Consider the following 25,051-nt stretch of genomic DNA (forward strand, 5'->3'; position numbering starts at 1 on the left):
CATTTTCTTACTGAGCTCTCACATGAACCCTAAAAGGTAACTAGAAATCTGTTTTTAATGGAAGACATAGTTGAGGTTCAAAGATATTAAACTACTTGCCAAAAATTACTCAGTTCTAAATTTTGTCCTAGACCAGAACATTACCGAATGATGTTTGACCTCCTCACTCATATTGCAATGAGATCCTTTGTACAGAAGAGACCCTAAGTAGGGGTGGGAGAATATTGATAATATTTAACCCGTATTGAGCTATTTCTATGTGTCAGGCACTTTTCTGAGACACTTAAATATAGAAACTAATTTAATCCTGACAATGTCCTTTTAAGAAATGAACTCTTGTATGGGGTGGGACTGTGCAAGGTGGAGCAGCAACAGAGGTGAGGGCTCAGCAGGCAGTCACAGGATAGGGCTGTGGGAGCCAGGCCACTGAGGTTGGGGCTGACTGAACTCACGGACCTGATACTTTTCTCGAGAAACAAACCAGCTCAAAAGAAAAATGGCATTTGTTGCAACACAAGGAGCCGTGGTGGTTGACCAAACCACTCTGATGAAAAAGTACCTTCAGTTTGTGGTAGCTCTCACAGATGTAAATATAACTGATGAAACAAAGTTAAAAATCATGCAAGAAAGTATTTGCAAGCCTCATGGTGACCTCAAACCAAGAAACATGCAATGGATACACAAAAAATAAAAAGTAAGAAACTAAATCATATCACCAGAGAAAATCATCTTCAGTAGAAGAAGACAGGAAGGAAAGAAAGAAGAGAAAACCAGAAAACAACCAGAAAGCAAATAACAAAATGGCAGGAGTAAGTCCCTACTTTCAATAATAACACTGAATGTAAATGGACTAAACTCTCCAATCAAAAGACACAGATTGCTGGAATGGATGTAAAAACAAGACCCATTGATCTACTGCCTGCAAGAAACACACTTCACCTATAAAGACACAGACAGACTGAAAATAAAGAGATGGAAAAAGATATTCCATGCCAATGGAAACCAAAAAGAGCAGGAGTCACTATACTTATATCAGACAAAAACTATAAGAGACAAAGAAGACCACTATATAATGATAAAGGGGTCAATTTAGCAAGAGGATACAACAATTTAAAATGTATATGCACCCAACACTGGAGCACCTAAACATATAAAGGAAATATTATTAGAGCTAAAAACAGAGATAGACCCCAATACAATAATAGCTGGAGACTTCAACACCACTTTCAGCATTGGACAGATCTTCCAGACAGAAAATCAACAAAGAAAAATCAGACTTAATCTGCACTATAGACCAAATGGATCTAAGAGATATTTACAGAACATTTTATGCAAGAGCTGCAGAATATACATTCTTTTCCTCAGCACATGGATCATTCTCAAGGATAGACCATATGTTAGGTCACAAAATAAGTCTTAAAGCATTCAAAAAAGTTAAAATAATATCAAGCATCTACTCTGACCACAATGGAATAAAACTAGAAATTAATAACAAAAGGAATTTTGGAAACTATACAATATATGGAAATTAAACAATCTGTTGCTGAATGACCAGTGGGTCAATGAAGAAATTAAGAAGGAAATTGGGCCGGGTGTAGTGGCTCACACCTGTAATTCTAGCACTCTGGGAGGCCTACGTGGGCCAATTCCTTGAGCTCAGGAGTTCAAGACCAGCCTGGGCAACATGACAAAACCCTGTCACTACAAAAAATACAAAACTTAGCTGGGTGTGATGGCACATGCCTGTATTTCCTCCTGTATTCCCAGGGGGCTGAGGTGGGATGTTAAGGTTGCAGTGAGTCGAGATCACACCACCACACTCCAGCCTGGGTGGCAGAGCCAGACCCTATCTCAAAAAAAAAAAAAAAAAAAAGAAAAGAAAAGAAAAGAAAAGAAAAGAAAAGAAAAAAAGAAAGAAAGGAAAGAGAGAAAGAAAAAGAAAAAAGGAATGAAAAAACTTCTTGAAACAAATAATAATGGAAAAACAACATAACAAAACCTATGGGATACAGCAAAAGCAATACTAAGAGGGAAGTTTATAGCTAAAAGTGCCTACATTGAAAAAGAGGAAAAGCTTCAAATGAACAATCTAACAATGCAGCTTCAAAGACTATAAAAGCAAGAGCAAACCAAACCCAAAATTAGCAGAAGAAAAGAAATCATAAAGATCAGAACACAAATAAATAAAATTGAAATAAAAAAATACAAAAGATCAATGAAACAAAAAGTCGGTTTTTCAAAAAGTTAAACAAAATTGAGACTAGTGAACAATACAGTCAGGATGGCTAAAGATGACCCCACAAAACCAAAGAGCAAGATGTCTGCTTCTGCCTTTTTGTGTAGACGTGCAGAGAAGAACATAAAAAGAAAAACCCAGAAGTTCCTGTCAATTTTGCAGAATTTTCCAAGAAGTGCTCTGAGGGGTGGAAGACAATGTATGGGAAAGAGAAGTCTAAATTTGATGAAATGGCAAAGGTGGATAAAGTGCACTATGATCAGGAAAAGAAGGATTATGGACCAGCTAAGGGAGGCAGGAAGAAGAAGGATCCTAATGCCCCCAAAATGCCACCGTCTGGATTCTTCCTGTTCTATTCAGAATTCCGCTCCAAGATCAATTCCACAAAACCTAGCATCTCTATTGGTGATGCAGAAGAAAAAAAAAAAAAAAAAAAAGCTGAGTGAGATGTAGAGTAACTTAAATGACAGTGAAAAGCAGCCTTACGTCACTCAGGCGGCAAAGCTGAAGGAGAAGTATGATAAGGATGTTGCCGACTCTAAGTCGAAAGGAAAGTTTGATGGTGCAAAGTGTCCTGCTGAAGTTGCCCGGAAAAAGGTGGAAGAGGAAGGTGAAGAAGACAAGGAGGGAGAAAAGGAGGAGAAGGAGGAGGATGAATTAAAAAAAAAAAAAAAAAAAAAAAACCTGTTTATCTGTCTCCTTGTGAATACCTTAGAGTAGGGGAGGGCCGTAATTGACACATTTCTTATTTGAGAAGTGTCTGTTGCCCTCATTAGGTTTAATTACAAAATTTGATCACGATCATATTGTAGTCTCTCAAAGTGCTCTAGAAATTGTCGGTGGTTTACATGAAGTGGCCATGGGTGTCCAGAGCACCCTGAAACTGTATCAAAGTTGTACATATTTCCAAACATTTTTAAAATGAAAAGGCACTCTCATGTTCTCCTCACTCTGTGCACTTTGCGGTTGGTGTGACAAGGCATTTAAAGATGTTTCTGGCATTTTTTTTTTTTTAATTTGTAAGGTGGTCTTAACTATATGGTAATTGGCTGGAAACCTAAGTTATCAACTGTATATATCTATAGTTTGTAAAAAGAACAAAACGACCAAGACAAACTCTTGAAGCTCTTTGCTTGGGGTTGAGGCTGTGGGGAAGTTGCCTTTTGGAAGGGCCATAGCTCAGGGCATGCACTGTGAGGCTGGACCTGTTGCCTCTGCAGAGGGCATACATTTAGCTTCAGGTTGTCTTGTTTCTGTATATTGTGACACAGCATTCAGTGGCGCGATCTCAGCTCACTGCAACCTCCACCTCCCAGGTTCAAGTGATTCTCCTGCCTCAGCTTCTGGAGTAGCTGGGACTACTTTTTAAACAAACTGTAGAACTATTCATTATTAGCAAAGTGAAGAGCCACTGCATCAATGAAAGTTCAAGAACTTTCTGTACTTAAACACGGTTTGAAACGTTGAGTGTTTTGTTTTTTTTTTGTATGTTTGGAATGCTAAAATGTTTTTGAAGTTAAAGTCTTACATTTTAAAAAAAAGTTAAACAAAATTGACAAATCTTTAACCAGACTAAGAAACAAAGACAGAAGATACAAATAAATAAAATCAGAAATGAAAAAGGAGACATTACAACTGATACTTCAGAAATTTAAAGGATCATTAGTGGCTACTATGAGCAAGTATATGCCAATAAATTGGAAAATCTAGAATAAATGGACAAATTCCTAGATACATGCAATCTACCAAGATTAAATTGGGAAGAAATCCAAAACCTGAACAGACCAATAACAAGTAACGAGTTTGAAGCCATAATAAAAAGTCTCCTGTTAACCCATTTATGCCAGAGGTTGCAAATTTTTTGTGTGTGAAAAATCAGACCTTGACAATGACCTTGAGCAATAGGGTATAAATAACTCCTACAAACATAGCATTCCAATAATGGAACACTAGGCATAAATTGGTTGTTGAAGAAAAGCCGGGGACTTGATGTCTTCACTACTCAATTCTACCAAATGCTTAAAGAACTAATACTAATCCTCTTCAAAGTATTCATAAAAATAGAGGAGGAGGGAATACTTCCAAACTCATTCTACAAGGCCAGTATTACCCTGATACCAAAACCAGACACAGACACATTAAAAAAAGAAAAGTACAGGCCAATATTTCTGATGAATATTGACGCAAAACCCTCAGCAAAATACTAGTAAACCTAATTCTACAATACATTAGAAAAAAAATCATTCCTCATATCCAAGTGGGATTTATCCCTGGGATGCAACGATGGTTCAACATATGCAAATTAATCAATGTGATACCTCATATCAACAAAATGAAGGATAAAAACCATACGATCATCTCAATTGATGCTGAAAAAGCATTTGATAAAATTCAGCATCTCTTCATGATAAAAGCCCTCAGAAAACTGGGGATAGAAGGAACATAGCTCAACATAATAACAGCCATATATGACAGACCCACAGCTAGTCTCATACTGAATGGGGATAAACTGAAAGTCTTTCCTCTAAGATCTGGAACATGGATAAAGAAAATGTGGCACATATACATAATGGAGTACTATTCAGCTATTAAATAAGAATGAGATCCAGTCATTTGCAACAACATGAATGGAACTGGAGATCATTATGTTAAGTGAAATAAGCTAGGCACAGAAAGACAAACATCACATGTTCTCAGTTATTTGTGGTGATGGCATTAGGTGGGGCAAGAAAAAATTTTTTTTTAATTTAAAAAATTAAAATCAAAATGGTAGAACTCATGGACACAGAGAGTAGAAAGATGGTTACTGGAGGTTGGGAAGGATAGTGGGGGGCTGAGGGAAGTTGGAGGTGGTTAATGCTACAAAAAAAAAAATAGAAAAAATGAATAAGACCTACAACTTGATAGCACAAGAGGGTGACAATAGTCAATAACTTCATTGTACATTTTAAAATCACTTAAAGAATGTAGCTGGATTGTTTGTAACTCAAAGGATAAATGTTTGAGGGGATAGACACCTCCATGCCCCATGGTGTGCTTATTTCACATTACATGCCTATATCAAAACATCTCATGTACTCCATAAATGTATAAAGCTATTGTGTACCCACAATAAAATTTTAAACTTTTATAAAAAGAAAAATTTTTAAAAAGAACTATTGTAATCCTCAGTTAACAGATGGGGGGTCGGGTGTGGTGGCTCATCCCGTAATCCCAGCACTTTGGGAGGCTGAGGTGGGTGGATCACCTGAAGTCAAGAGTTCGAGACCAGCCTGGCCAACATGGTCAAACCCCGTCTCTACTAAAAATGCAAAAATTAGCCGGGTGTGGTGGCAGACGCCTGTAATCCCGGCTATTCGGGAGGCTGAGGAAGGAGAATCGCTTGAACCCAGGAGGTGGAGGTTGCAGCAGGCCGAGATGGCACCACTGCACTCTAGCCTAGGAAACAAAAGCAAAACTTCATCTCAAAAAAAACAAAAAACAAACGAACAAAAAAAAAAAACAAAAAAAAAAAACGGGGCCGGGGGGAACTGAGGCCAGGCAAAGTGGTTCATGCCTGTAATCCCAGCACTTTGGGAAGCCAAGGCAGGAGGATCACTTGAAGCCAGGAATTCGAGACCAGCCTGGGCAACACAGTGAGATAGCCCTTCAAAAAACAAAAAAATTAAGAAGGCTAGTAGTCCTAGCTACTCAGAAGGCTAAGGCAAGAGGATCACTTGAACCCAGGAGGTTGAGGCTGCAGTAAGCTATGATCATGCCAGTGCACTCCAGCCCGATGACAGAGCAAGACTCCGTCCATAAAAACAAACAAACAAAAACAGACGGGGAAATGAAGACACAGAGAGGTTAAGTACCTTGCCACAGACACACAACTAGTGAGTAAGTGTGGCAGCAGTGGTAATTTTCTTTGACTATCCCATATGCTTTCCTTTATACCTACCCTCTTCCTGGGAGGCTGGGCTATGACTAGTTCTAGCCAAAGAAATATGAACGGAAGTAATGTCTGTCACTTCCAAACTGAGGCAGTGAAAAGTCTCCAGGCACAATTCTCCAGTCTCTTCTTTCCCCTGGCATGGAGGAGATATGCAGGCAGTGCAGCTGCAAGATAATGGTGCCTCCAACCACCTAGATCCCTAAGTGACCATGTGGAGCAGAGCCCCCACTGTCCTGCATGGGGCATGGGGCATGTGGAAGAAACAAATGGTTACTGTGTTCATCACAATTTTTAGGGTTATCTATCACCATGAGTCTACTAGCCCATCCTGACTAACACATTAGTGGAATTAAGGCTCAAACCCCGCTCTGTCTTAACTGTGGATTCTAAGGTTCAACCTTTAGAGCTTCTGGGTATGTATCTCACCTAGTAATGGTCACAAATATCAGGACAAATTGGGCCTCTTCTCTCCTTCCCCAGCACCCTCAAGCATGGAAGGGACATATCTCATAGAGCCTTTGGGTATCTTTAAGCCTTTATTAGTGTTCCTACTCTCCATCCATTTGGTTCTGGTGAAGCCCATGACCCAGCCTGGCCAATCAGAGAACTGAATCCTTCTAACCTCAGCAACTAGTCCCAAGACTCCAGTTGGTGCAGACAGGGCAAATCCCGGGACTTGTGTAGGATTTACCAGGAAAAGAAGGGCGGTCTCTTCTGCTTATCCTTAATGGGGTATGAACTGATAGCCATTCTGCCACCCTGTGGGAACTAAATGTGAAACCAATATAAGGTGAGCTAAAAGACCAAGAGTAGGTAGAACCATTTGAACCACCGAATTTAGCTGTGTCTGAGCCCAGCTCTACTCAAAACTATCTGTTATTGATCAAGGCAGTCTGAATAGAACTTTTCTGTCACTTGGAACCAAAAGAATTCAGAGTGGTCTCCCCTTGTACCTTCTGTCTGCTGTGTGTTCCAGATTGGGGCAGAAGAGAGATGTCTTGGCACCTGGGTAACCGGGAGCAGGGGGCACCATGCATAGTCACAGAGAAGTATGGAAGAGATGGTGGGCTTGGACACAGCAGGGTTGAGGTGCTGGAAGGGTGCCCACGTGGAGCTGCTCAGCAGGCTGGCAGGAAGTGTGTGTGCAGGTCTGGAGGGTGCAGAAGCCTCTGACCCAGACACAGGAGGTGGCAGCTGAGTGTGTGGGAGGACATGAGATCATGGAGGGGTGACAAGAAAGAAGACAGAGAATGGAGACCAGAACCTTGGTAAGCAGGAATCTTGCCACAGTGGTAGAGTTAGGAGTGAAGGGCATTCAAGGGGCGGAAGATGTGTGTGGCCTGGGGAAAGCTCCTGAGCCACTCTCCCTCAGTTTCTTTCTCTGTGAAATGGGTTCACAGTGTATACCTGTGCTGTGTTGTAGTGAGGATGGAGAACACATATTGAGCTCTTATCTGAGTGCCCAGAGCTCAACAAACATAAACTGGTATCAGCTATTGGGAGAAGAGAGACAGAATGCCCAGGGTGAATGTGGAAGAGAGTTCTCAGAGTTGCTTCCTTCCTAAAATTCTCCAGCCACTGCACTCACAGTCTGCTGTGCTGAAACTGCCAGTTGCCACCTTGCTCTCTCCACACCCTGGAAGCTCCTTGAATAGGAGCTGGGGCTCATTCCCTTTGTATCCAAGAGCTGGCACAGTGCCTGGCACAGAGCATGCACTGCATGAGTGCTTGTCAATCATTAGAGGAAGGAAAGGACTCACCCCAGTGCAGACATCTGCAGAGATGGAGGAAGAGAGAGGCCTGAGAAGGGGTTATTGGATTTGTTCATCAGAAGTCCCTAGTGACTGTTGGCAGTTGGGCGTTGAGGGGTTAACAGGGATCCAGAGCTGCTCCAGGTGTCCCTGTCCCCTCCACAAGTCACTCCCCACCACCACCTGCCCCCCCAGCAGGTGAAAGAAATTGGGGGAAAGGGAGGATCGGGCTGATTCCTCAATGAGTTTTCTAATGGACAGGCTCCCTCTCTTTCTCTCTCTCAGGCCCAGACTCGCCAACTCTGCCACCCCCTCAATTTGGCAGGGGCTCTTATCTCAGAAGCTGCTGGAAGAATTTGGCATTTTGACCCTATTTCATCACTCCTAGGGCAGTCTGGCAGACAAAGATGCTCCACACAGCAGCTGAGCTCATTCACAGAAGCACCGCACACACACAAGGCCCCTCCAAAGTGAGTCCCCCTCCCCCAGTGACCTGCATCTTTATGACACCTGCGCAGGCCTAAGGCACAGTGCTGCAGGGTGGATCTGACATGAGTTGGGGGTGGAGGTCTGGACTAGAACTCTGCCTCTCCTGGATCCTGGCCTTGCACAACTTCACTTGCCCTGAGGCCTGACATTGCATCCTTGGGGTTTAAGTCACCTGGGCTGGGAGTGCTCAGTTAAGATGAAAATGCCCCCAGGGTGAAACACAGTCACTGCAGGGAAAAAAGATAAGTCCCACAGCTGAGTCCCTTTGAACCCACACAACTGGGATTTGCTGGAGGGCAAGATGCAGAAAGGGAATGGAGTGGAAAAGTACTGCAGAAACCTTTCCTTTCTTCACACTTTGGAATTCCACCTTTCTTTCCTTCAGTAAACATTTACTGGGTGCCAATTCCACACCAGTTGCTTAGCCAGGTGCCAGGGGCACCTAGTCTGTTCAATCCAGTCCCTTGAGGTGTGAGGTGAGATTGTGTATTAATGCCTGAGAACTACAGAGGTTGGAAAGGAGTCATGGGGAAGCCGAGGGACTGGAGGGTCCTGCCCCTGCCTTCCCAACCTCCAGCCACAGCCTTGCTAGCCCACAGTAAGCTGTGATCATACCACTGAACTCCAGCCTGGGCAACAGAGTGAGACCCAGTCTCTAAGAAAAAGAAAAAAAAATGGTGAGGGGTGAGGAGAGGCTGAGGGGGCACGGAAGGGTCAGAGCTCAGAGTCCCAGGCAGGCCAACACCTGGTGAGAGGGACTTGAAAGGACCTGCTCACGCCTCTCAACCCTCCAGTCCCTGAGGAGTAGGAGGTGACTGGGGGGCCTCCCGGGTACCTTCTCATTGAGGCAATCACAGTCTTCCAGTGCAAAGCATCTCATCAGCCTCACTCCTAAGAGAAGGATTTTCCCTCTTCCCTGTCCCCAGGTGGTTCCCATGGATGCTCCTCTCCTCGCCTCCACACAGGAGAGGAATGAACCTTGTTCCCAGCTGGAACCCCTCTCTGGATTCCAGGTGAACCTCGGAAGGCACAGTTAATGCCCTTCACCTAGATCATTGGTTCTGAAAGTGAGGTGGGAGGATCCATCATATCAGATACCTGGACGCTTATTAGAAAAGTAAATCTTAGAAAAGTAAAGGGGTGGTCCAACACACCATTTCAACGAGCCCCCAATTGATTCTGATGCCATCCGCCTGGGAACCACTGGTCGGGAGAACAATTCAGCTAGAATTTTCTGGGTGCCTGGGTGTGGAGTGGGGAGAGGGGAAAAGGAGCATCCCCGTGGCCTGGCTGGTGGCAGCAGGTGGGCTTCTCCGGAAGAAGGAGCTGGTCTGCTTCAGGGCCTGGGGCCTGCCCCTCCCTCGGGCTGGGGATGCTCGTGGTGAGCAGGTGCAGTGGGGAGAGATAGACCGTGGTTTTCAGGAACTTCTTGAAGGGATCTGAAACTCCCAGAACATCAAGAGCCTTTCTTTGAGAAGATTTTAATTTAACACACAATTATCACTTGAATCCACTTTCATTGGAAACATTCAAGCCACACCAAAACAGAGGTAGCAACAAGGAAAAGTCCTTCCTTGATGCCCTCAATGCTAGATCCTGTCCAGAAGCAGCCACTGGTACCTGCTTGATGTTTACCCTTCAGGACCTTTGGGGACATTTATATGTACACACAAAAGGACAGAGTCTGGGTGCTTTTACATAAAGAGGCTAATGGGAGGAGGTTATGCTGGGCAACTCCCTACTTCCTCCCTTTAATAACACATCTGAGAACCTCTGCTTTAAATGCCCGGAGATCCAGCATCAGGCTCTGGGCCTCTTTTCAACAATATCTGGAGGGCGGTGGTTACAGGGGCAAGAAAAAAAACATTTTAACACCACAGCAGAGCACCCCACCCTTTTCCTGAATACCTCCACCACCCGCTTTCCATTGCCTACCCTATGACTGCACACACAAACACTGACGCTGGTCTGATTTAAGGAAACCCTTCCCAGTCCTCGCCCAGCATGGCAACCCCTGACCTCACAGGCAGCACAGTGCTGAAGCACTGGGGCCTCCTTTTGCTCCAGACAGAAATTCCTTGGCCCGGAGAAGGCCCTCTCTGGAGTCCCAGGACAAATGGGCATTGGAAGGGCTGTGTCACCACTGAGAGCTGTGCGTGTTTGCATGTACATTTACCCTGGGCGGGAGTTCAGAGCTTTCCTTTCGATTCCCAAAGGCCTCTGATACTCTGTACAGGATAAAAACCAAGTTGTACATTGATTGCGTCTTAATGGGTTTTCTAATTTACAGTCGAATGCTTGGGAGTCAGCCAGCTCTTGGGAAAATGGTGGCCTCACCTTCCCCAAAAGCTCAGGCCCGGGTACAGGGTGTCCTCTCTCTAAATGGCAGAGCAAGAGGGAGGAAAAGCTGAAGATGAGAGAAAGAATGAGGCAGATGGGCAACCCAAGTGTCCTGGGTGGAACAGTATCCCCCCAACATTCATGTCCTTCCCCAAACCTCAGAATGTGACCTCATGTGGAAATAGGGCATTGCAGATGTGATTAATTTGAGGTTATACTGAGTGGGGTGGGCCCTTAATCCAGTATGACTGGAGTCCTTATAAGAAGAGAGGAGATGCCCGACACGGTGGCTCACACCTGTAATCCCAGCACTTTGGGAGGCCAAGGTGGGTGCATCATGAGGTCAGGAGATCAAGACCATCCTGGCTAACACAGTGAAACCTCGTCTCTACTAAAAATACAAAAAATTAGCCAGGCATGGGGGCGGGCGCCTGTAGTCCCAGCTACTTGGGAGGCCGAGACAGGAGAATCATTTGAACCCGGGAGGCGGAGGTTGCAGTGAGCCGAGATCATGCCACTGCACTTCAGCCTGGGCGATAGAGCGAGACTCTATCTAAAAAAAAAAAAAAAGAGAGAGAGAGAGAGAGAGAGAGAGGAGAACGGATGCAGAAGACACCGAGGGGAGAACGCCAGTGAAGATGGAGGCAGAGACAGGAGTGATACCTCTACAAGCAGGGAATGCACAGGGTTGCCGGCAACCACCGGAAGCCAGGAGCATGGCCTGGAACAGCCCCTCCGTCAGGACCTCTGGCAGGAGACTTGCTGACACCTTGCGTTCAATGCTGGCCCCAGAACTGTGAGAGAAGACATCTCTGTTTTAAGCCACTCACTTGGTTAGTGGTACTTTGTCACAGGAACCCCAGGAAATGCATACACCAAGGTAGGGGTGGCAAAAAGCAGAGCTCAGCCATGGCTTCTGGGGAGACCCTGGAGCCCCCACAGAGTCCCCAGCACTCAGCGCCTGAAAGGGCCAGGTCCCTTTGGGTCAAAGAGTCTGCCCTGTGCTCACTCAGCTGTGCAGGCAGCTCCCAGCTCAGAGAGAGAGTTCCCTAATAAACAGGCAAACCAAACCCATGTTCCCTCCAGGCCCTCGAGTCACCTGCCACTTGGCAATGAGAGGACGTCAGCCCAGTTCCTGGCTGGTGGCTCTGACAGGCGCCCATCTGCTCCGGAAGTGTCCGGCCTGGATAAACAGAGCCAGGCTCTGCCTCCCACGGCTGACCCAGCCAGGTCAAGCGGAAGCCCAGGGCCTCAGGCCTCAGGTCTCCCAGGGCTCACTTTCCACACTGACCTGGTCACAGCTGGCTACCCCAGCAGGAATGGGCATCCCTGGAAAATGGCTGTGAAGACGGGGGGAAGGAAGAGTTGGGGACCTACCTCCCAGGCCACTTCCCTGGATCTCTGCTGGGCCCAGGGTCACTGCCCCTCCCATCTGCCCCCCTCCTCACTCACGCCCACATGAAGCCATCTGCCACCCTCGCCCCCTGGCAGGCACCACAGCCTCATGACTCAGCGCCCAGCCCAGAGCTGCTCTGTGGGTGGCCACTCCGGAACCTTGCAGAGAGGGAGGTGCTGGGAAGGGGGTTTGAGCGGGGGTGGGTGGAGGCAGAAGACACGTGCAGACCCCAGGTGGCTGTTCACGGAGCACCAAGCCCTGACAGCACTGCCTTCATCCGGTTTTGCAGGCAACAACCTCTCCAGCAGAGGTGTTGCCTAAAATACCACGGCCCAATTGAAATGCACCTGATCAGTTCCATTTTTCCCTCCAGGTTTCCCCACCTGTTCTCGAGGTCCTGATCCCAGGCCACGCTGGGACCCTTTCTCCAGTTCCATCTTTGCTTCTTCCTGTGCCTTCCCCACCTTCTTGCAGCCCCTGGAACACATCCCTGGAACAGCTTATTCACCCCCACACAACCTTGAGTAGATAAAGGCCCACAAAGGTATTAGAGACTTCGTGTCATCCTTTGAGCAAGGGGCTTGACCCCAAGTGCCCACCCCAAAACGCCTGTGGTAATGGTGACACCATAGGTGCCATTCTGGGGAAGGGAGAGAGTGAGGGTGGAGGATGTCATCCCCATAGTGGCAGGGCAAGAGACAGGTCCCCGCCCCAGGCATCTTGGGCAGGTGGCTCCAGGTTCCGTTCTGAGTCAGGCGTTTTTTACACCTGCTGCTTTCGCTCAAGGTGGCTCGGCACCTGGAAGATCAGGATTTGAGGCCAGGCTCCAACCCTGAGGGTGAGGATAGGGCCCGAGTGGGAGCTGTGTTTCCTCTGTTGTTGCTGAGACCCATCCAGAAGTTCACTGCCCCTCTAGAGCCTCTCAGGCCAGAAGGGAGATGTAGCCACTTGGCCTCATAGCTGAAGAGAGGTCCTCAGGATTTGGCCCTGGTTCTGTCCCTTCCCAGGTAGCCCCCTGTGGGGTCAGATTCTCCTGGAGAGCCAGGCAAGGGTGCCCCTACTTCTTCCCAGCCCTGTTCCTTCCTAACCAAGTCTGTGGTCTCCTGTCATTTCTTAATGGTTATTTTAACTGCTGGGAACCTCAAGGAAACAGGCACTGCCTAACAAAAATAAAGAATCCTGGGAAATTTCAAGACACTTCAAAATTCTAGCAGGAAGAGCCCAACCACATTTGAATCCCAGTTCTGCAGTTATGTGTGAACCTGAGCAAGACACCCTCTCCGTGGCTGGGTTTCCTCAATTCTATGATAACAAGGGTACCTGCCCCAAAGGACTGTTATGATGCTGAAATGAGGCAGAGAATTGTGAAAAGGCACAACTTGAGATAGTCCGTTTCCTTTATAGAAATGGACACAGTTCAGTAACAGCAATAATTAATAATAATCACTGCGACCGTTCCTTTACATGTGCTGTGTTGACATGAGCGTCAAGCATTGTGTGGAGGGTTTCAGCTGCACTAACCTCCCTAAAGTCTGTGTACTTTGATCCAGTCTTTCTTTCCACACTCTATTTCAGGAGACAGTTCAACTCTCCCAGAGGAACCCCTTTCCCGCATTTACACCCTCCCTTTCCCGCTAGGCATTGGGCTATTTTCCAGGCCAACCCCTTCCCCCGACTCCAGGGAGCATCTCCCAGGAACTTGCGCTGCTTCCCAGAGCAGGAAGGTGGGCAGAAAACAGCCCCAGCTGGAAAATCAGAGTACATGTTTCCGTACAACTTCTTCAGAATGATAGACTTCTAGAACAAACAAAAAGCTCCATTCAGGAGCCGCTCTCTATTTTGCCCTGGTACTCCCAGCCTGCCCCACTGCACAGCTGCAGAAAATGTGATTTTCCTGAGGCCACACAGAGAGTAAGCAGCAAAGATTCCAGCAACATGTGGCACTTGCAATGCATGTACTGCATCCATTCACTTAGTAAACACCTGCGGTGCTGACGTTATGCTCCACAGATGATCGATACCAAAAAGGCCCATGTGCTCAGGGCATTGACATTCAATGGAGAGGGCTCAGAGCCCAAACAAATCAACAAGGCAATCGCCAAGACTGAGAAATGCCATGAAGAAAATGCATCCTGGTGGTGTGGGACGGAGGGATAGGTGGATTCAGGGGAGGGAGGCTTCTCTTTACCTAGAGTAGTCAGAGAGGCCTCTCTGAAAGGTGACACTGAGCTGAGAACTGAACCATGAGACACAGCTCAGGGAGGTCTTGGGGAACGGGCGTCATGCTAGGGGAACAGCGAACGCAAAGGTCCTGGTGCAGGAATGTGTTTGTTCTCTTCGAGGAACAGGGCAATCAGTACAGTTGGAGCAGAGCAGATGAGGAGAGGTGGGAGAGGCAAGGAAGACAGCCTCGTAGCCACAGTAATGGGCTTGGATTGGATCCTAACAGCGACGGGCTAGGAGGGTTTCAGGTAGGGCAATGACCATTATGCCTTATGGCCTAGAAAGATCACTCTGGCGGCTGGGAATGGCTCAAAGGGGGCAAGCAGTTCCAAGGAAGCTGTGGTGGCCTGGACCACTGCGCCAGCTGTGAGGTGCAGGGAGGTGAGAGGCAAAGACCTTCAACCTAACGCACCTGAAGCACTTAGCACCGAGCCTGACACCCACTGAATTATGAGTGATGGCCCCTCCAGAGATGGGGCCTGAGGAGGAGGTGCTGGGGGCTAGATGCGGCCACAGGTAGCAGTGACAGGGGCTGGGGAGACTGCCTTTCCTGGGCTTAAGACTACAGGCAGCCTCCAGAGGTAGCAAGTGGCGGCCGACTCTGTGGAGCCCACATCCTACTTTGGTCCTCTGAAGCCTGTGTCATCTTCCCATTCTTCAAAGGTCATTCTCAGAGCCACTCTCTGTGACATAGAAGCATTCTAGAAATAAAAACTTGCCAGTAATTAGAATGGAAGTAGCTTACATACTTTTTATATTCCAAAATTGTGTTTAAATTACACAAACGCATAAAAATTTCAAGTGCAAGAGCACACAGTGAAAAATAATTCTCCCTCCACCTCTGCCCTCCCTCCCTGGAAAAAATTCTGTTTTCTACACATTCTTTTTCCAGAAATATTCTCAGCACACACACACACACACACACACACACACACACACACACACACACACACACACAATTACATCCTATTTTTAAACATAAAGATAAGATCACATATATACTGTCTTGTACCCTTTTTCACACACACAAAAATATTTCTTGAAGATCATGTCATATCAGTCCATGGATCACAATCTCATTCTTTTTAGTGGGTACCTAGTATACCATAGAATAGCTGTGTTAGAGAGGAAAGTGGGCATTTAGATGGCTTCCGGGATTAACCACTGTAAGGAATGTCACAGACAACCTCCCCATATGTAGTCTTTGGTATTTTCATTGCACAAATTCCTAGAAGTGGAATTAATGGTTCAAAAGATAAATAACAATTTTTGTTTTCACAAATACTGACAAATTGCTCTTGGGAACAGTTGGATTAATTCACCCTGACCCCCACCGCCAGCTGACTCTGAGGGCATGCCCTTCACAATGTCAGCATAGGCATGGTCCAAATGTTTCATCGTTGCCAGTCTCATGACACCTTACAATATTTTTTTTTTGAGGCAGAGTCTTGCTCTGTCACCCAGGCTGAAGTACAGTGGCTTGATCTTAGCTCACTGCAACCTCCCACTCCTAGGTTCAAGTGATCCTCCTACCTTAGCCTCCCGAGTAGCTGGAAATACAGGCACACGTCTCCACGCCTGGTAATTTTTATTTTTGTATTTTTGGTAGAGACGGGATTCCGCCGTGTTGCCCAGGTTGGTCTCAAACTCCTGAGCTCAAGCAATCCTCCCACCTTGGCCTCCCAAGGGATTGCAGGCATTAACCACTACACCTGGCCTGTAACCGTACTTTTTAAGTGTAAGCACACCTGTATAGGTGTTGTGGGAGTTATCACCCCCATTTTGTAGACCAGGAAGCACATGACGCCCACCCCAGGGCACAAAGCCAGTGGGGTGGAAAGCAGGGGCCAGGTGAGGGAGTGGCTGCCTCCACAGATACTAGGACTCTGGCAGTCAAGACAGTGTACACAGGTCGGAAGCCAAGAGACAGGGCAATGGTCAGGTCCGTAAACCCACTCCACCAGGACCAGGGACACAGAACTGTCTATTCTGTACCCCTGCCTGTGCCAGCCTGAGGCCTGTTTGTGGGTGTCGATTAGCCATACCAGGGCAATGGGAAGTAGGCCACTTGCTGGAGGAGTAGAGAGCTTAGGAGTAGAGATAAGAAGTTTCCTTTCTTCCCACCATGAACAGGTTGGCGGTTGCAAAACAGGAAAATGCAGGCTCCATTAAAAGGAGAGACAGAAAAAGAGAGGCCCCTGTCAATAAACCACAGTAGCCAAATAAACCTAAGTTTAGCATCACTCTCTAAGCCTGTATGGGAGCCTCTTGACTGCTGATTCTTCTAATGGGCTCCACTTCCGTGAACTCAAAGGTAATGGAATGAGTTTCAACAAAAACTATGTTCTAAATAAAGCAATACAATCAGAGCTGCTGACCTTCGACAGAAAACTCTTCTTATAGGCCTTGGACTTGAAGTAAAGAATGTGCTCTTTGTGAGGGTGCATTTGTGTGTGTGTGTGTGTGTGTGTGTGTGTGTGTGTGTGTGTGTGAAGACTGAATTTCAGGCATGGCTGAAAACAGTAAAAAAAAAAGTTCTATCATGTTACTAGGACTTGCTTGTTTGAAAAAAAGAAAAAAAAACCTTAAAGGAAAATGTTAGTGTAAAGAGGGCAGGGAAACATGGCTGTTTTGAAACCAACATCAGGGCCATATGGGTGTAGGATTTATTATTCATAGATAGGATTTCCGTGGGTTTTCAAGGCTGGCCTCCAAGGCTCATGCAACCTCCCCCTCCTGGGTTTAAGTGATCCTCCTACCTCAGACTCCCGAGTAGCTGGAACTACAGGCATGAGTCCCCACGCCTGGTTATTATTATTATTATTATTATTATTGTTATTATTATTATTTTGTATTTTTGGTAGAGATGGGGTTTCACAATATTGCCCATGCTGGTCTCAAAATCCTGATTTCCTGATTTTTAGCAATCAGGAAAGTCTCCTACAGAGTGCTCCAGCAGAGCCAGGCATGAGGCCCCTAAAACAGGCATACTAGAAGCTTGTGTCCAGGCAGAGAGGGCTTGCTGAGCACTGCGGGTCACAATCAAGGGGCCATGAAGGCCCTCAGGGGTCCCAGATGATTGGATCAAAGAAGCCCAGAGCCTATGTCCATCACTTGCCAGTCTGAGATGCTGGAGTTTCAGTCGTTCATCTTTCTGAGTGAAGATGGTGTCCATTCATTCCACTGTCTCAGGCAGTCAATAAATAAATTATTTTTGAGCCCACTACAAATCAGAGACTGTGCTGGGGCACTAGTGGTGGTGAGAGGTTGGTGATGGGGGCTTTTACAGGGGTGGTGGGGAGTATAAGTGGCTTTGGAAAACAACTGGGCATTATCTTGTAACACTGAAGTTGCACACACCAATGACCCAGCAATTACTTCCACTCCTAAGATTATGCCCTGAAAACTCTTGCACATGTATGAAAAGCCTTCACAAGGATCTTCAAAGAAGCATTATGCATAATTGTAAAATTATGAAAATCCCAGATGTCCTTTGACTGGAGAAGGAATGAATTGAGATCTCTTCCCACAATGTAATATTATGCAGCAGTGAGAAATGAATGTACTAGAGTTACATGCAATCAGATGGATGACAGCCAGGCGTGGTGGCTCACGCCTGTAATCCCAACACTTTGGGAGGCTGAGGCAGGTAGATCACTTGAGCCCAGGAATTTGAGACCACCCTGGCCAACATGGTGAAACCCTGTCTCTACAAAAACTATGAAAATTAGGCCAGGCACAGTGGTTCATGCCTGTGATCCCAGCACTTTGGGAGGCCAAGGCCGGCAGATCACCTGAGGTTAGGAATTCGAGACCAGCCTGACCAAAATGGTGAAACCTCATCTCTATTAAAAATACAAAAATTAGCCAAGCGTGGTGGTGGGCACTCATAATCCTAGTTACTCAGGAGGCTGAGGCAGGAGAATCGCTTGAATCCAGGAGGTGGAGGTTGCAGTGAGCCGAGATCATGGCAATGCACTCCAGCCTGGGTGACAGGGCAAGACTCTGTCTCGAAAAAGCAAACAAACAAACAACAGCAACAACAACAACAACAACAACAAACAAACAAAACAAAAAAAACCCCAGAAACTTAGAAATGCTGGTTCCTTGGGTTTTTTTATAATTAAAAAAATTCTTTTCAAGATGAATGAATCTTGAAACAAATGATGCATGAAAAAAACGAATTTCAGAAGACAACAATACACTATGCCATTTTTTCTAAAGCTTAAAAATAAGCAAAGATAAACCTTTTCTAAAGAAATCATATAAACGTCTTAAAACGTTTTTAGAGCAAGCAATTTTGAGCATCAAATTTAGGACACTTGTTACCCCAGAGGGGCAAACAGAATATGGGATGGGGAGGTGCCAGAATATGGGATGGGGAGGTGCCCACAGGTAGGGTCAATGGTTTCAGTCACATTCTAGTTGTTGGGCCACATAGTATGTTACAAGCCTTTGTTTCATTATGTTTTATTAATTACAAGTATTCTTTTATACAAAAAAAAACTTCTTTTTTTTTTTTGAGACAGAGTCTCGCTCTTTCACCCAGGCTGGAGTGCAGTGGCGTGATCTCGGCTCACTGATAGCTTTGCCTCCCCGGTTCACGCCATTCTCCTGCCTCAGCCTCCCGAGTAGCTGGGATACAGGCGCCTGCCACCATGCCTGACTAATTTTTTGTATTTTTAGTAGAGACGGGGTTTCACCGTGTTAGCCAGGATGGTCTCGATCTCCTGACCTCGTGATCCGCCCGCCTCGACCTCCCAAAGTGCTGGGATTACAGGCGTGAGCCACCGCACTCGGCCAAAAAACAACATTTTAAAAGAAAGAAATACTGCATTACTCCTGCTGTGAAGGAGAATGCTATCTATTTGAGAAGCCAGATGCACAAACCAACAAAAAAGGCATTTTGTATGTCAAAATACAAGACTAGATCTCTATGAATGTCAATACATGTTTGGACTCTGTTTTTTTTAGACATTTGCAACATTTAATGTGAAACTATAATTGTTTCATATTGTTTCCTGAAGATATTGATACAGTATAGGTCAAATGAAACACCAAAAGTAGAATAGAAGAGGCAGTATATGTACATCCTTTAGTATAGCGTATACCTTTAGAAGTTTTTTTTTTTTTAGACGGAGTCTTGCTCTGTCGCCCAGGCTGGAGTGTGATGGTGTGATCTCGGCTCACCGCAAGCTCTGCCTCCCAGGTTCACGCCATTCTCCTGCCTCAGCCTCCGGAGTAGCTGGGACTACAGGCGCCTGCCAACACGGCCGGCTAATTTTTTGTATTTTTAGTGGAGACAGGGTTTCACCATGTTAGCTAGGATGGTCTCGATCTCCTGACCTCGTGATCCGCCTGCCTCGGCCTCCCAAAGTGCTGGGACTACAGGCGTGAGCCACCGCACCCAGCCTTTTTTTTTTTTTTTTAAATATATATACATACTTTAAGTTCTAGGGTACGTGTGCACAGCATGTAGGTTTGATACATAGGTATACATGTGCCAGGTTGGTTTGCTGCACCCATCAACTCGTCATTTACATTAGGTATTTTTCCTAATGCTATCCCTCCTCCAGCCTCCCACCCACCGACAGGCCTCAGTGTGTGATGTTCCCCTTCCTGTGTCCAAGTGATCTCATCACTCTCACCTAAGAGTGAGAACATGCGGTGTTTGGTTTTCTGTCCTTGTAATAGTTTGCTCAGAATGATTGTTTCCAGCTTCACCCATGTCCCTACAAAGGACATGAACTCATCCTTTTTTATGGCTGCATAGTATTCCACAGTGTATATGTGCCATATTTTCTTAATCCAGTCTATCATTGATGGACATTTGGGTTGGTTCCAAGTCTTTGCTATTGTGAATAGTGCTGCAATAAACATAAGTGTGCATGTGTCTTTATAGTAGCATGATTTATAATCCTTTGGGTATATACCCAGTAATGGTATTGCTGGGTCAAATGGTAATTCTAGTTCTAGATCCTTGAGGAATCGCCACACTGTCTTCCACAATGGTTGAACTAATTTACATTACCACCAACAGTGTAAAAGCGTTCCTATTTCTCCACATCCTCTCCAGCATCTGTTGTTTCCTGACTTTTTAATGATTGCCATTCTAACTGGTGTGAGATGGTATCTCATTGTGGTTTTGATTTGCATTTCTCTGATGGCCAGTGATGATGAGCATTTTTTCATGTGTCTGTTGGCTGCATAAATGTCTTCTTTTGAGAAGTGTCTGTTCATATCCTTTGCCCACTTTTTGATGGGGTTGTTTGTTTTTTTCTTGTAAAGTTGTTTGAGTTCTTTGTAGATTCTGGATATTAGCCCCTTGTCAGATGGGTAGATTGCAAAAATTTTCTCCCATTCTGTAGGTTGCCTGTTGACTCTGATGGTAGTTTCTTTTGCTGTGCAGAAGCTCTTTAGTTTAATTAGATCCCATTTGTCTATTTTGGCTTTTGTTGCCATTGCTTTTGGTGTTTTAGTCATGAAGTCCTTGCCCATGCCTGTGGCCTGAATGGTATTGCCTAGGTTTTCTTCTAGGATTTTTATGGTTTTAGATCTAACATTTATTTATTTATTTTTATTTTAGTTTAGTTTTTTGAGACCGAGTCTCACCCTGTCACCCAGTCTGGAGTGCAGTGGTGCAGTGGCGTGATCTCAGCTCACTGCAACCTCTGCCTCCCAGGTTCAAGTGATTCCCCTGCCTCAGCCTCCCGAGTAGCTGAGATTACAGGTGCCTGCCACCATGCCCAGCTAATTTTTTGGGTATTTTTAGTAGAGACAGGGTTTCACCATATTAACCAGGATGGTCTCATCTCATGACCTCATGATCCGCCCACCTCGGCCTCCCAAAGTGCTGGGATTATAGGTGTAAGCCACCATGCCCAGCCAGGTCTAACATTTAAGTTTTTAATCCATCTTGAATTAATTTTTGTATAAGGTGTAAGGAAGTGACCCAGTTTCAGCTTTCTAGATATGGGTAGCCAGTTTTCCCAGCACCATTTGTTAAAAAGGAATCCTTTCCCCATTTCTTGTTTTTGTTAGGTTTGTCAAAGATCAGATGGTTGTAGATGTGTGGTGTTATTTCTGAGGCCTCTGTTCTGTTCCATTGGTCTATGTCTCTGTTTTGGTATGAGTACCATGCTGTTTTGGTTACTGTAGCCTTGTAGTATAGTTTGAAGTCAGGTAACGTGATGCCTCCAGCTTTGTTCTTTTTGCTTAGGATAGTCTTAGCAATGCGGGCTCTTTTTTGGTTCCATATGAACTTTAAAGTAGTTTTTTCCAATTCTGTGAAGAAAGTCATTGGTAGCTTGACGGGGATGGCACTGAATCTATAAATTACTTTGGGCAGTATGGCCATTTTCATGATATTGATTCTTCCTATCCATGAGCATGGAATATTCTTCCATTTGTTTGTGTCCTCTTTTATTTTGTTGAGCAGTGGTTTGTAGTTCTCCTTGAAGAGGTGCTTCACATCCCTTGTAAGTTGGATTCCTAGGTATTTTATTCTCTTTGTAGCAATTGTGAATGGGAGTTCACTCATGATTTGGCTCTCTGTTTGTGTGTTAATGATGTATAGGAATACTTGTGATTTTTGCACATTGATTTTGTATTCTGAGACTTTGCTGAAGTTGCTTATCAGCTTAAGGAGATTTTGGGCTGAGACGATGGGGTTTTCTAAATATACAATCATGTTGTCTGCAAACAGAGACAATTTGACTTTCTCTCTTCCTATTTGAATACCCTTTATTTCTCTTTCTTGCCAGATTCCCTTGGCCAGAACTTCCAATAGTATGTTGAATAGTAGTGGTGTGAGAGCACATATGCCATGCTGGGAGAACCACTGCTCTCTTCAGAGCTGTCAGACAGGGACATTTAAGTCTGCAGAAGTTGTCTGCTGCCTTTTGTTCGGCTATACCCTGCCCACAGAGGTGGAGTCTAGAGGCAGTAGGCCTTGTTGAGCTGCAGCGGGCTCTGCCCAGTTCGAGCTTCCTGGCCGCTTTGTTTACCTACTCAAGCCTCAGCAACGGTGGACGCCCCTCCCACAGCCAGGCTTCTGCCTCGCAGATTGATCTCAGACTGCTACGCTAGCAGTGAGCAAGGCTCCATGGGCATGGGACCTGCCAAGCCAGGCACAGGAGAGAATCACCTTGTCTGCTGGTTGCTAAGACCTTGGGAAAAGAGCAGTATTTGGGCAGGAGTGACCCGTTTTTCCAGGTACCGTCTGTCATGGCTTCCCTTGGCTAGGAAAGGGAAATCCTCTGATCCCTTGTGCTTCCTGGGTGAGGTGATGCCCCACCCTGCTTCAGCTCACCCTCTGTGGGCTGCACCCACTGTCCAACCAGTCCCAATGAGATTAACCAGGTACCTCAGTTGGAAATGCAGAAATCACCTGTCTTCTGCATCAATCATGATGGGAGCTGCAGACTGGAGCTGCTCCTATTCGGCCATCTTGGAATGCCTCACTTTTTTTTTTTAAGAGACAGAGTCTCACTCTGTCGCCCAGGCTGGAGTGCAGTGGCACAATCTCAGCTCACTGCAACCTCCACCTCCCAGGTTCAAGCAATTCTCCTGCCTGTGTCTCCCAAGTAGCTGGGATTACAGTGCACCACTACACCTGACTAATTTTTGTATTTTTGGTAGTTATGGGGTTTCATTATGTTGGTCAGGCTGGTCTTGAACTCCTGGACCTAAGTAATCCACCTGCCTCAGCCACCCAAAATGCTGGGATTACAGGCATGAGCCACTGCGCCCAGCCTAGAAACATTTTTTTTTTTAATATTAACTGTAATTTAAAAACTAAAGTTTGCAGTTTGCTCCAATGTATCTCAAAGTCAAACTGGCAGGAACAGACTTATACAAACCTAATACACATACCTAACTTGGAAGGCTTATATTCTTATGCCATATTTTATCATCTGACTACTTAAAAAAGGGACTGAATTACAAGAATCCATCTCAGCATGCTTCTCCAATACATCAGTAGTAACACAATGCTAACATCAAGGGGCCGCCCCCACACAGGCCTGGAGCTGACTCAAGCAGACATCTGGGGTCATGGAGCAGGCAGACTGGAGGCAGGTTGGGAAAAGAACACAGCTCTGGACCAGGAATTCTTCCTTTTCGAAGGGGTTGCCTAGAAGGGTGGTTTCCATGCATGATCTGTGCTGATCTGGCTCACCACCCCCAGACTGTAGCTCTCAGCAATCCCATGCTCAGAGGATGTGCCAGAGGGGTGCCCTCAGCATGGGACCAGTGCCCAGCAGGCACTTTTTTACAGTCTAAGGGGAGGCTGTGACCTCCAGATCCAAGAGTTCCTGCCTTAGAGAAAAGTAGGATGTGGGATAGCGGGTACCAAACCCCATTAGATCAACAATGCCATGTGTCATTTAAGAGTCCCGCACTCTAGAGTTCGCCCTGGATTAGAATCCCTGTTCTGCCGCCTAACAAATAAGTGACCTGAGCAACTTGCCTCAACTCTCTAAGTCTCAGCATCCCAATTGGTAAAATGCCCCTAATACAGCAGGAGCACCTACCTGAGAAGTAATTGTGCAGCTCAGGTGAAACGAGGTTATGATTGGCATGACATTCTCCATTGAGGTTTGCCATAGTTATAGCCATGATTTCATTATTTAAAGAGTCTCTGAGGTCACAGTCATGAGCCCTCAGACAGTACAGATGGCCACCCAGGGGCTAGATGATCTCTTGTTAAGAACGCTGTACAGCAAGCTTGTCCAACCTGCAGGATCTCTTGTTAAGAACACTGTAGAGCAGGGGTGTCCAATCTTTTGGCTTCCCTGGGCCACACTGGAAGAAGAATTGCCTTGGGCCACACATAAAATACACTAACACTAATGATAGCTGATGAGCTTAAAAAAAAAATCACATAAAACTCATAATTTTTTTTTTTTTTTTTTTGAGATGGAGTTTCGCTCTTGTTGCCCAGGCTGGCGTGCAATGGCATGATCTCGGCTCACTGCAACCTCCGCCTCCCAGGTTCAAGTGATTCTCCTGCCTCAGCTTTCCTAGTAGCTGGGATTACAGGCATGTACCGCCATGCCCGCTAATTTTGTATTTTTAGTAGAGATGGGATTTCACCATGCTGGTCAGGCTGGTCTCGAACTCCTGACCTCAGGTGATCCACCTGCCTCAGCCTCCCAAAGTGCTGGGATTACAGGCGTGAGCCACTGTGCCTGGCAAAAATCTCATAATTTTTAAGAAAGTTTATGAATTTGTGTTGGGCCATGTTCAAAGCTGTCCTGGGCTTCATGCAGCCCATGGGCCGTGGGTTGGATAAGTAGCTGGGACTGTAAACATGAGCCACCATGACCAGCTCCGTTACCCTTTTATGGTCTTCCTCTATCTCTCTCTTTTTTTTTTTTCTTGAGATAGGGTCTCACTCTGTCACCCAAGCTGGAATGCAGGGATGTGATCATGGCTCACTGTAGCCTTGACCTCCCGGGCTCAATCAGTCCTCCCACCTCAGCCTCCTGAGTAGCTGGGACTAAAGGAGTGTGCCACCATGCTGGCTAATTTTATGTGTGTGTGAGATAGGGTTTCACCATATTGCCCAGGCTGGTCTCAAACTCCTGGACTCAGCGATCTACCTGCTTCAGCCTCCCAAAGTGTTGGGATTACAGCCATGAGCCATAGCTGCTCCTGGACTACGGTCTTCCTCTCATTAC

At 45.8% G+C, this 25,051-nt stretch overlaps 1 pseudogene, besides 8 other annotated features; it reads left to right on the forward strand.

Moving 5' to 3' along the window:
• HMGB3P5 (high mobility group box 3 pseudogene 5) lies at positions 2,258-3,057 on the forward strand (annotated as a pseudogene).
• Positions 7,357-7,426: an enhancer, noted in NCBI's record as "active region_4023". NCBI's record gives its function as "activates an Ori minimal core promoter by ATAC-STARR-seq in GM12878 lymphoblastoid cells {active_cell/tissue: GM12878}" and the evidence as "EXISTENCE:reporter gene assay evidence [ECO:0000049][PMID:35858748]".
• Positions 10,291-10,340: an enhancer, noted in NCBI's record as "active region_4024". NCBI's record gives its function as "activates an Ori minimal core promoter by ATAC-STARR-seq in GM12878 lymphoblastoid cells {active_cell/tissue: GM12878}" and the evidence as "EXISTENCE:reporter gene assay evidence [ECO:0000049][PMID:35858748]".
• Positions 11,610-12,809: an enhancer, noted in NCBI's record as "CDK7 strongly-dependent group 2 enhancer chr10:112219715-112220914 (GRCh37/hg19 assembly coordinates)". NCBI's record gives its function as "activates an origin of replication core promoter dependent on BRD2, BRD4, P300/CBP, MED14 and CDK7 cofactors, with strong dependence on CDK7, by STARR-seq in HCT116 cells {active_cell/tissue: HCT116}" and the evidence as "EXISTENCE:reporter gene assay evidence [ECO:0000049][PMID:35650434]".
• Positions 11,610-12,850: a biological region, named in NCBI's record as "CDK7 strongly-dependent group 2 enhancer GRCh37_chr10:112219715-112220914".
• Positions 12,611-12,700: an enhancer, noted in NCBI's record as "active region_4025". NCBI's record gives its function as "activates an Ori minimal core promoter by ATAC-STARR-seq in GM12878 lymphoblastoid cells {active_cell/tissue: GM12878}" and the evidence as "EXISTENCE:reporter gene assay evidence [ECO:0000049][PMID:35858748]".
• Positions 12,771-12,850: an enhancer, noted in NCBI's record as "active region_4026". NCBI's record gives its function as "activates an Ori minimal core promoter by ATAC-STARR-seq in GM12878 lymphoblastoid cells {active_cell/tissue: GM12878}" and the evidence as "EXISTENCE:reporter gene assay evidence [ECO:0000049][PMID:35858748]".
• Positions 12,871-12,930: an enhancer, noted in NCBI's record as "active region_4027". NCBI's record gives its function as "activates an Ori minimal core promoter by ATAC-STARR-seq in GM12878 lymphoblastoid cells {active_cell/tissue: GM12878}" and the evidence as "EXISTENCE:reporter gene assay evidence [ECO:0000049][PMID:35858748]".
• Positions 12,941-12,990: an enhancer, noted in NCBI's record as "active region_4028". NCBI's record gives its function as "activates an Ori minimal core promoter by ATAC-STARR-seq in GM12878 lymphoblastoid cells {active_cell/tissue: GM12878}" and the evidence as "EXISTENCE:reporter gene assay evidence [ECO:0000049][PMID:35858748]".

The sequence above is a fragment of the Homo sapiens genome, chromosome 10 (genome assembly GCF_000001405.40).
Source record: "Homo sapiens chromosome 10, GRCh38.p14 Primary Assembly".
NCBI lineage: Eukaryota > Metazoa > Chordata > Mammalia > Primates > Hominidae > Homo > Homo sapiens.